This window comes from Homo sapiens, chromosome 7 (assembly GCF_000001405.40).
Source record: "Homo sapiens chromosome 7, GRCh38.p14 Primary Assembly".
In the NCBI taxonomy this organism is placed as follows: domain Eukaryota; kingdom Metazoa; phylum Chordata; class Mammalia; order Primates; family Hominidae; genus Homo; species Homo sapiens.
The window spans coordinates 104,928,051-104,940,206 of record NC_000007.14 but is presented as its reverse complement, the minus strand read 5'-3'; the positions used below and the strand labels follow the sequence as shown (position 1 = coordinate 104,940,206).

The 12,156-nt window shown below is 46.4% G+C and overlaps 1 annotated feature.

Moving 5' to 3' along the window:
* Window positions 4,996-5,160: a silencer, noted in NCBI's record as "fragment chr7:104575494-104575658 (GRCh37/hg19 assembly coordinates)". NCBI's record gives its function as "represses an EF-1alpha promoter that drives an FKBP-Casp9 reporter gene in an ReSE screen in K562 erythroleukemia cells {active_cell/tissue: K562}" and the evidence as "EXISTENCE:reporter gene assay evidence [ECO:0000049][PMID:32094911]".

Sequence of the window (12,156 nt, the reverse complement as noted above, 5' to 3'; positions counted from 1 at the left end):
CTGGCCTGCAAGCACCGCACGCAGCCCCGGTTCCCGCCTGTGCCTCTCCCTCTACACCTCCCCGCAAGCTGAGGGAGCCGGCTCCAGCCTCCGCCAGCCCAGGAAGGGGCTCCCACAGTGCAGCGGCGGGCTGAAGGGCTCCTCAAGTGCCGCCAAAGAGGGAGCCCAGGCAGAGGAGGCGCCGAGAGTGAGCAAGGGCTGTGAAGGCTGCCAGCACACTGTCACCTCTCGCTGCCCCTAGAGAGTTGGGGAGAGGGGCCCAGATGGACCCCAACTCTTTACTCTCAGCCGACATGAAGGGAGTTTGTTAGCCTTTGTGGCTCTGGCCCAGATCCAGGCTTTCTGGTGGCAGAGGGGCTGTGACCCTGATGAGGCAGCCTCCTTGGGAGAGAGAAGCCATTCTGTTCACTCTCCCTTTCATGCGCTTTCCAGGGGAGCTGGCCTGAGAGCTAATCATTGATTTAGCAGCCTGAGAAATGAAAGAGAGAGGGGAGGCCAGGAATGTTTCTGGATCCTCTGAAAGTGCTCTCTCTTTTAAAACAATTAACAAACATGTATGTAGAATTTTTACATACATTATCCTATTTCTTTTTCATTACAACACTTGTTAGGAGAGGCTCTATTATTCCCAAGGTAATTAAGTACCAAGAGGTGACAGAACTTCCAGATAATGGAGTCAGTAAACAGAAAATTTAGGTTGCGAACACTCCATCTGTGCCTCTTTCACCAGGCAGCTCAGGTCTAGGCACAGAACCAAAGGCTCCCATGCCTTAATCCAGACACCTGGAATCATTCTTTCCTCCCATCCTCCTTGCTCCTCACACATACCACCACAAGTACTTCCACCTAAAAAATATATATCAAACCTCATCTTTTTGACTCACTGCTGCTCCCTACTCCAGGCCACCCTCATTGCTCACCACCTTACAGATTTCTCTGCTGCTACTTTTGCACTCCCTTGGTTTTCTCTTTCTACCAGCTGTGTGACCTTGGGCAAGTTTCTTAACATCTAAGGACTGAGTGCTGTCTCTAAAATAGAAATGAGAATAACATCACCCTGCAGGTTGCGCTAAGAGTTCAGATGCTGTGCTTGGAATAGGGCCACCTGAAAGCATCTAGGATAAACCACTGTGGCTTAAGAATTATTTTGAGCTGAAGGCATTTGAGTTTCTAAAATCCCTTATCTGCCTAAAAACAGAGCCTCCCCAAAGAACTCAACTGTTGTAAATCACCTCCCCTAATCTCTGCTAGGCAAAGAAGGTTGGCACCATATCCAAGCAGACATTTGTCACAAAAGTATCATATCTTCCATCTATGTTGCTAAGGGCCCATGTATCTTTCCAAAGAGTAATTTGTTTTTCCCTAAGTGCTGTCCTTCACCCACTTTCTAAGAAGTCATTTGTTCTCTCAAAAATGTCCATCTGCCTCTCCCCATCCCCTGTTAGATGGTAATATATAAGCCCCCAAATTCTATTGGCCTCTTTGAATCACAGTTCTTTGTGAACTCCTTTGCATAAGTAAGTAATTAAATATATATTTTTTCCTCTTGGTAATCTGTCTTTTGTCAGTTTGTTTATTTATTTATTTTTGAGACAGGATCTTGCTCTGTCACCCAAGCTGGAGCGCAGTGGCACGATCACTGCTCACTGCAGCCTCAACCTCCTGGGCTCAAGCAATCCTCCCACCACCACCATGCCAATTTTTTTTTCAGCTAATTGTGTGTGTGTGTGTATAAATAGGATCTTACCATGTTGCACAGACTGGTCTTGAACTCCTGAGCTCAAGCGATCCTCCTTCCTCGGCCTCACAAAGTGCTGGGATTATAGGCATGAGCCATCACACCCAGCTTGTCAGTTTAATTTGCAGGCTCCCAGTGATTAAAGCTAAGTCGGTCGAGGGAAAGTTTTTGCTCCCTGACATTTCCAAGAGAAATATAAATGTCAGACATGTAACTTAAAGTTTAAAATTTTCTAGTGGCTACTATATTATAAGAGGTAAAAAGAAAAGTAAAATTAATTTTAATAATACAACACAATATAAATAGTATCCATTTAACATGTAATCAATATTTCTTTCTTTTTTTTTTTTTTTTTTGAGACGGAGTTTTGCTCTTGTTGCCCAGGCTGGAGTGCAACGGCGCGATCTCGGCTCACCACAACCTCCGCCTCCCAGGTTCAAGCGATTCTCCTGCCTCAGCCTTCCCAAGTAGCTGGGATTACAGGCATGTGCCACCACGCCCGGCTAATTTTGTATTTTTAGTAGAGATGGGGTTTCTCCAGGTGAGCCCGGCTGGTCTTGAACTCCTGACCTCAGGTGATGCACCCACCTCGGCCTCCCAAAGTGCTGGGATTACCAGTGGTGTGAGCCACCGCGCCCAGCCCGTAATCAATATTTCTAAAATATTAACGAGAATTTGCAGCACTATTCACAATAGCAATACATGGCATCAACCTAAATGCCCATCAATGATACACTGGAAAAAGAAAATGTGGTACATATATTCCATGGAATACTATGCAGCCATAAAAAAGAACAAGATCATGTCTCTTGTGGGAACATGGTGGAGCTGGAGGCCATAATCCTTAGGAAACTAATGCAGGAACAGAAAACCAAATACCGAATATTCTCACTTATAAGTGGGAGCTAAATGATGAGAACTCATGGACACAAAGAAGGGAACAACAGACAATGGTGCCTACTTCAGAATGAAGGGTGGGAGGAGAGAAAGGAGCAGAAAAAAATAACTATTGGGTACTGGGCTTAATACCTGGGTGACAAAATAATCTGTACGACAAACCCCCATGACACGAGTTTACCTATATAACAAACCTGCGCACATACCTCTGAACCTAAAATAAAAGTTAAAAAAAATTAATGATATTTTAATATTCTTTTTTCATACTAAGTCCTTAAATTTCAGTGTGTATTTTTACATTTACTACATAACTCAGTTTGGACTAGCCACATTCAAGTGTCCAGTAACTACACGTGGCCAGTGGTTGCCATAATGGGCAGCGCAGCCTTAGAGCAAGGCCTGGCTCATAGTGTTCCCTATTACCATGGTAGTTACTGTTACATGGACGCTGGGCCCCTTGGCCCTGCCTTAGTTTTCCTGTCTGCTCATTGGGAACCCTGACACTGTTAGCTAATCCAATTCTATCAAATAAATCCCAATAGAATTAGCATGTCTGTTGGGGCTCCGGGGGGCAAGTGGACATGTTTTGAGTAAGGAGGGTTCAGGAAATGCTCCTTTGAGTCAGGAGGAAAAGGATTTTCACATCACTGGTCCCTCCCACTGAGGAGGCAGCAGGCACCAGAAGCTTCAGTGGAAAGCAGTAACTAGAGAGGGGTTTCCAGGGCAGAGCTTGGCTACGCTGCCACGTTTGATGATGTCCTTCCATGTCTCTTTAAAAGAGTCTGGCCGGAAGCACCTGGGGCCTGGAAGAACGGTCTGCCCTTCAGCAGAGTTTCCTGCCCCTGTCTCCATGCCACCCTCCCCTGCCCACTTGCAGAAACAAAACGCTGTCTTCAAAGGCCTGTGTCAGGTGGACCAACTACTGGCCCACGCCCTGTGTGGCTGACCAGCCATTCCGCTTGGCTCATTGGAGCCGTAAGTGCCTCTGTTCTTCTGCTCAGGGCATCTCAGAGCCTTACCTTTGCCCTCCCAGGACCTGTGGCCCCAGCCCTGAGATGGGGTTCACTTTGGAGGCCCTCTGGCTTCTCAGGACTCCAGCTGTGTAGTATGCTGTGGCTGCCTTACCAAAGCACCACAAACTAGGTGGCTTAGAACAACAGAAGTATATTGTCTTGTAGCTCTGGAGGCTAGAAGTCTGAAAGTCACGTCTTTGGCAGGGCTGATTCCTTCTGAGATCTGTGAGGAAGCATCTATTGGAGACCTCTCTCTAGCTTCTGGTAGCCTCCTGCACTCCTTAGCTTGTAGACAACCTTCCTTTTGTGTCTTCACATCATCTTCTCTCCATCCATGTTGGTTTCTGTCCAAATGTTCCCTTTTTATAAAAACATCAGTCAAATTGGATTAGAGATGGGATTCAGAGAAGAACTTTGGTTGCTCCTCATTTTAACCTAATTACCTTGGTAAAGATCTCATCTCCGAATAAGGTATGTCAGGGCTCAGAAAACAGCAACCCAAAATGAAGGCCTCAGAAGCAACCAATTCCAGGTGGAGGTTATAGTGAGCCGAGATTGCACCACTGTACTCCAGCCTGGGTGAGAGAATGAGACCCTGTCTCAAAAAAAGAAAAAATGAAAGAAATTATCTGACCTACCTTGCTTGATTATAGTCATAAGACCCCCATTCCAGGGAGAGTCCTGCCCCACACCCAGAAGGAATGCCGGCTCAGGGAGGCCAAGAAGAATCTAGACAGAGAGGCCTTGCTGGGTTTCCCCCCTCAGTCTATTAGCAGTAGATCCCCTTTAGGTCCAATCATATTTCTACACGGTTGTCCATACTTTATTAAACTAAGCATAAAAATGGACAATTTCCCCTGCATCTTTGGGTCTTCATTGTGATGACTCCTGTGCATACATGTTAAATAAATGTGTGTTGCTTTTCTCCAGTTAACCTGCCTTTCAATGAGTTGAGTTGTCAGTGAAACTTGAGAGGGCAAAAGGGAACTTTTTCCTTGGCCTCTAGATGTCATATGCTGAGGTACTAGGGGTTAAGACTTTAACACAGAATTTTGCTGGGGTCATAATTCTACCTATGACAACAGTCTAGCCTCCTTCTGCAAGGGTAAATGTCCACTCTGTCATCACTGGGAATTCAGGAAGTGGGTGAACTTCTGAGGCTTCTGGGCTAGTAGTATTTGATAGAAATAATTGCTTAGTGGAGCTCACATAAATTCAGAATTTTCTGGAGCTACAGGCAGTACAGTGACCAACAAAACTCAGCCTTTGTGCCCTAGGAATTGTAATCCAATAGGACTTTTCTTTTCTTTTCTTTTCTTTTTTTTTGAGACGGAGTCTCGCTCTGTTGCCCAGGCCGGAGTGCAGTAGCACAATCTTGGCTCACTGCAACCTCCGCCTCCTGGGTTCAAGCAATCCTCTGCCTCAGCCTCCTGAGTAGCTGGGATTACAGGCACCCGCCAACACACCTGGCTAATTTTTGTATTTTTTGTAGAGGCGGGGTTTCACCATCTTGGCCAGGCTGGTCTTGAACTCCTGACCTAGTGATCCACCCGCCTTTGCCTCCCAAAGTTCTGGGATAACAGGTGTGAGCCACCGTGCCCGGCTCCAATAGCACTTTAACCAGATAATAAAATACAGGGTGAAAGGTACAAAGAACAAAGATATAGTCGAGAGAGTGCTTTCTTGTGGTTGCAAGATAAGTGACAGATTTATGGAGATTTGCTTTGAATAGTCCTTCTGATTCCAAAAGTAAAGATGAGAATGGCTGGGCATTCCAGGTGTAGAATTCCAGGGACAGGCGGGCATTCCACGGAAGACTAAATCACTTGAATGTCTGGGAGGTGGACAGAAGCAGCCAGGGTGAGAAAAGGGTAGGAGAGCAGGACACAGCCAAATGATGTGATGGCTTTTCCTGCCAGGCCAAAGAAGTGGCCTTTGATAGGCAAAGGGCATCCCTTGAGAGTTTTGTAGTAGGAGGGCAACAAAGCAAATCATCTGTCAAGGATATGAATCCCATTGGTAAGAATGGGCTAGGAGGAATTAAGGAGAAGGTGGGTGGGAAAGTGTAAACAGGAGGCTCTGACAGTTCAAATGTGAGAGGTAAAGGCCTCAGGGTAGTTGCTATGGAAATGGAAAGGGAGGAATGGGGGTGTGGGAAAGTGTTTGAAAAGAAAGAACCCAAGGCTGGGTGCGGTGGCTCACACCTGTAATCCCAGCACTTTGGGAGGCCGAGGTGGGCGGATCACTTGAGGTTAGGAGTTGGAGACCAGCCTGGCCACCATGGTGAAACCCCGTCTCTACTAAAAATACAAAAATTAGCTGGGCGTGGTGGCACGCTCCTGTAATCCCAGCTACTCGGGAGGCTGAGCCATGAGAATCACTTGAACTGGGGAGGAGGAGGGAGGTTGTAGTGAGTCGAGATTGTGCCATCATGCTCCAGCCTGGGCAAAAGAGCAAGACTGTGTCTCAAAAAAAAAAAAAAAAAAGAAAAGAAAAAGAAAAATCCCACAGAACTTGACAACGAAATAGATGTTTAGGAATGAGGGGAAAAAGAAAGAGAAGACAAAGATGGTTTCAGGTTTCCCAGTCTGGGCAATTTGGAGAGGGTGGGTACCATTAAGAGATTTGGAGAGGGTGGGTACCATTAAGAGAATGAGGCAGGTGAGTCAGGGGCGTGGCTGCTGGAACACTCCCTGCGGAGGGGAGAGGCTGGCAGTCAGTCCCTTCAATTGCCGAAAGCAGGAGTGACCTCTCCCCTTCCCCTCCCCTTGCCCCTTGTTCCTTTTTCCCTTGGAAGCTGTATCATTTAAATTAAACGCATTTAATCATTTAAAGGCACAGTATGGTCTCAAGGGTGTTCTTGATGTCACAATGAGGAAATGAGAAAGGGAAGGGCCTTAAAGTTATATCCCTTTCACGAGACTAAGGAGGAGGAGGTGATGAGAAACATGTAGTAATATACATCTGCAACTTCATTTCAGTCCAGTGCTGGGTCAGCACCCCCAGGACACCTTTGACACTGGACGTAGTGTCAAATGGGGCAAAATAGATACTTGCATTCAGTTCACAGGTCCTGGTATTTCTCCCTTTGAAATGCAGAAGATACAACTTTTGGTTCCTTATGAAAGCTTTTCGTCTCCTATGTGGAGAGGCTCTGGAGCACACCTGTGTGAATGTGTGTGTGTGTGTATGTGTATGCGGGTATGTGTATGTGTATGTGTGAATGTGTATGTACGTGTGCGTAGGCATGTGTGTATGCGTGTGTGTATGTGTGTATGTGTATGTGTGTGTATGTGTATGTATGCATGTTTGTGTGTATGTGTATGCATGTGTATGTGTGTACATGTGTGTATGTGTATGTATGCGTGTATGTGTATATGTGTGCATGTGCATGTGTGCGTGTATATGCCTGTGTGTATGCGTGTGTGTATGCATGCATGTATGTGTGGGTACGTGTATGTATGCATGTATGTGTGTGCATGTGTGCGTGTATGCATGTGTATGTGTGCATGTGTGCATGTGTGTATATGCATGTATATGTGTGCATGTATGCATGTGTGTATGTGTGTGTGTGTGTGTGTGTGTTCATCTATTTGGATCATTTCTCATCTCATCTCTTGCTTCCCAACCCTGCCTCAGCCCACTCTCACTGCAGGAGTGTTTTAACTACCTGCAAGCCAGTTTGAAGGCCCCTTGTCTAATCCAGCAGGACACTAATGGGTGTGTGTTTTGTGTGTGTGTGGTGCCAACAGTGTAATTGGGAAGTCACCTTCCACTAATAAAATACATGATGCTGGAAACAAGATCTAGCTGAAGCCACTTGTTTTGCCTCAGCTGTAGTTGTTGTCTCTGAGGGCTGAAAGGGGGAAGCCCAAATAAGAGATGATGTTGTGGTCCCTATAACACGTTTATGGACAGGGCTGACACAGGAACACATCTGAAAACTTCCTGAGGTTGAGTCTAAGGGAACATAATAGATGGAAATGCAGAGTAGCCAGGTTGGAGTGAGCTGGTGGGTGAGTGAGATGGTGGGTGAGTGGGTGCGGATGATGGGGAGAGAACTATTGAACAGGCTGGGATATCATCTCCTCTAGTCTCAGTCTGTCCCTTCATAAAAGAATTTAAATTCCCTCACAAAGAATCTAAACACATAACAGTAGGGGACTGACTGACTCCATCACCTTTTAAATACGCGATGAAATATACTGCAACCATTAAGAAGGGTGTGGAGGAAGTGGATTTATTGACATGGAACGATGTTCATGATCTACTGTTGTTTTGTTTTTAGAGACAGGGTCTAACTCTGTCACCCAGGCTGGAGTGCAGTGACACAATCATAGCTCACTGTAACATCAAACTCCTGGGCTCAAGTGATCCTCCCACCTCAGCCTCCTGAGTAGCTGGGACTACAGGCGTGAGCTGTTGTGCTTGGCTTCATGATCTTTTGTTGTGCATACGTACAGTATCGTCTCGTTTTTTTCGTGTGTGAAAAGCAAATGAATTCTAAATGTTGAAAGTGGCTCCTAATTATAGGTGACTTTTCTGTCATCTTTTTATTTTCTACTTTTTTCTTCAGTGAAAATATATTACTTGTAAATTTTTTCAAAGGATAACATTATTTAATAATAACATATGCCCTTGGAAATATTTCTTTGATGTTTAATTGGAGAGAGGAATTAGACGAAGAATACTCTTGACTGTCAAAGTCAGAGCCTGGGTCCCACCCACCAACCCCCACCAACCCACCCCCTACCCCCTGCGCTCCCTCCACTGCTTTCCATCTCAAAGCTCCTGTCAGCGGGATTGCCCTTCTGAGCCCTGCTGGGAAGGATGTGGGAGATATGATAAGCATCACTGCTTTCATTAGGAGAGGGGCCTAGGGGGCCTTAGGCAGGCTGAGTGACTGGCTCTGAAATCCCTGGTTAATCGGTCCTACAGGAGGTAGGAACTGGCCTTCCTTTCTCTCTCCTTCTGTTTTCCAGCTGCCAGCTGCTCCTCTAATGAATAGGTTTTCTTCTGGTTTCAGTCCCATGACTTTGCTTTCCAAGTGCTATTGTACCCAGGCCAGCTGGTGAGCAGGACTGGTTTTTAGGGTTATAGAGTCTTCAGGTCACACAGGGGTTAAGTGCCATGGGAAAGGCCCAAGCAGAGTTAGAAGGTCACCAGGAAATCAGGAGGCAGGGCAAGGGTGAAAGGAGGTGGGCCTCCCTGCACGCACAGTCTGGGCGAGTGTCCACTAAGTTGGCAGAGCATTGTTAGGGACTTGCCTGTAGGGTTCCTACAACAAAACAATCAGGGCCTGGGTGGGAGCCAGGAGAGTGTCCAGGTGTTCCAGCAGACAGCGATGCAGACTTTTGCCATGGCTTTCAAAGGTTGAAGTGGGTCATGCCCCCCTTCTCAGCAGTCCTGTGCCCTCCGAGGGGTACAACGATGCCAGTGAGGGGTCCTCTTGAGTTCCCAAAATTCCTGCAGTGAGGAGCTCAGAACCATTGTGCAGCTTTAGAAAACTGTTTGCCTTGGGAGGCTGAGGTGGGCAGATTACAAGGTCAGGAGTTCGAGACCAGCCTGACCAACATGGTGAAACCCCATCTCTACTAAAAATACAAAAATTAGCTGAGTGTGGTGGTGTGCACCTGTAATTCCAGCTACTCAGGAGGCTGAGGCAGGAAAATCGCTTGAACCTGGGAAGTGTAGGTTGCAGTGGGCGGAGATTGTGCCATTGCACTCCAGCCTCGGTGATAGAGTGAGACTCTGTCTCAAAAAAAAAAAAAAGAAAAGAAAAGAAAACTGTTTGCCTGCAGGACTCTTTGTCGTTTGTTTTTACTGTGACCTGGGACCTCTCTCAGTATGGGGAGAGCTTTTTTTTGAGACAAAGCCTCACTCTGTTGCCCAGGTTGGAGTACAGTAGTGCAATCTCTGCTCACTGCAACCTCCGTCTCCTGGGTTCAAGTGATCCTCCTGCCTCAGCCTCCCTAGTAGCTGGGATTACAGGCATGTGCCACCAAGTCTTGCTAATTTTTGTATTTTTAGTAGAGACAGGGTTTCACCATGTTGGCCAGGCTGGTCTTGAACTCCTGGCCTCAAGTGATCCACCCGCCTTGGCCTCCCAACGTGCTGGGATTACAGGTGTGAGCCACTGCACTCAGCCAGTGTGGGGAGATCTTACCTGGAGAAAAGGAGAGGCCTGAGAACACCCAGCCTTCCCAGCACTCTGGGGCTGTAGCCTCTCAACTCTTCTTGGCTGCTCTTCTGAGAATAAAAGAATTCTCACATACCAATTTCAGGGGGCACAGCTGGAAAATAGGGAGCAGTGGTGATTAAGAACTCTGCCTCCTTCTAGCTGCTCTGAGCCACAGTTTCTTTATAGGCAAAAGGAAATACTCATAGTGTATGTTTCCAGGTTGCTGTGAGATAATGTAGCATAAAGAATTGAGAGGGCAGTGCTGGGAACATACCAAGCAGGGATGAACTTGAAAAACATGTAACAACCAGTAAGGGCAGAGGAAGCTCCTTCTTTGTAGATTGGAGGTCAAGATTGTGCTGGAGCAGGTTCTGGAGAACACTTCAGTGCCAGCATTAACCGATTAGCTGCTGGGCTGTGGGGAGTTTCCAGAGAGGCATTGGGTGAGGAAGAGGGGTGATGCTATTTATAATCAACTATGAAATTATTTAAATATTTTAATAATAAGCTATGGCTGTATACTATGTAAATAGTAACTGTAGTTCTAAGTATTAGTAAATATTAATGGTTAATTAGTATAAAGATTAGCTATAGGGCTTTTATAGCTAGATTCCCTCTTCCCCAACACGCACACATATACCTCCATTCTTATTTATTTATTTAATTTATTCTTGAGACAGTCTCACTCTGTTGCCCAGGCTGAAGTGCAATGGTGCGATCTCTGCTTACTGCAACCTCTGCCACCCAGGTTCAAGCGATTCTTCTGCCTCAGCCTCCCGAGTAGCTTGGATTACAGGTGCACATCACCATGCCCAGCTAATTTTTGTATTTTTAGTAGAGACAGAGTTTCACCATGTTGGCCAGGATGGTCTTGAACTCCTGACCTCATGTGATCCACCTGCCTTGGCCTCCCAAAGTGCTGGGATTTTTGGTGTGAGCCACTGCGCCGGGCCTTCATTCTTAACCTTAAAGAAAGAAAAACAAGCAAGCACTTAGGAAAAGTACAGGACCAACATGGGTCAGACTTGGATTCCAACTGTTCAGATGTGCAGTACTCTGGAGCCCAGAAACACATGTGCACCACCAGCCAGAGGGCAACTGCTTTCAGACAAGCAAAGCTCTGTTCTCAAGGCCCAGAGTTGGGTGGACCTTCCTGTCATGCTCCACCCAATGTGGAATCTGCAAGTTACCAGAGTGGAGTTTCAAGGAGACATCACTGGTTGGGGGTATGGAAAAACACCCCTGCACTTGCATGGCAAATCAAAAGGAACTCTGTATAAGTTTGCTAGGTGCTCTGATCTGAATGTTGGTATCTCCCTAAAATTTCAATATGTTCCAATATGTTGAAAGCTAATACCCGATGTGATAGTATTACCAGGTGGGCCTTCTGGGAAGTGATTAAGTCATGAGGGATCTGCCCACAGGAATGCCATTAATCCATTTATAAAAGAAGTTGGGGGGAGTGCCCTTCTGACCCTTCCACCATGTGACGAAGTGACACAAGGCGCCATCGGTGAAGCAGACAGCAGCCCTCACCAGACATCAACTTTGCTGGAGCCTTGATCTTGGACTTTCCGGCTCCAGAACTGTGAAAAATAACTTTCTGTTGTTTATAAATTGCCCAATCTAAGAAATTTGGTTATAGCAGCCGAACTGAGTAAGTCACTTGGGCTGCCTTAACAAAGAACCACCGACTGGGTGGCTTAAACAACAGAAATTTATTTTCTCACTGTTGCGGAGGCTAGAAGTTTAAGATCAAGGTGTCAGCAGGGTTGGTTTCTTCTGAGATCTATGAGGAAGGATCCGTTCCAGGCCTCCCTCCTTGGCTTGTAGGCCTCCCTCCTTGGCTGTTTTCTCCCTGTGTCTTCACATCACCTTCCCCCATATGTGTGTTTGTGTCCAAATTTCTTCTTCTTCTTCTTCTTTTTTTTTTCCAGACAGTCTTGCTCTGTTGCCCAGACTGGAGAGCAGTGACACGATCTCAGCTTACTGCAAACTCTGCCTCTCGGGTTCAAGAGATTCTCCTGCCTCAGTCTCCCAAGTAGCTAAGATTACAGGCACCTGCCACCATGCTCTGCTAATTTTTGTATTTTTAGCAGAGATGGGGTTTCACCATGTTGGCCAGGCTGGTCTTGAACTCCTGACCTCAGGTGATCCACCCACCTCGGCCTCCCAAAGTGCTGGGATTATAGGCATGAGCCACCGCACCCAGCCCAAATTTCCTCTTCTTATGAGGACCCTAGTCATGTTAAATTAGGCCCCACCCAAATAACATCATTTTAACTTAATTACCATTTTACGGAACCCCATCCCCAAATATGGTTACA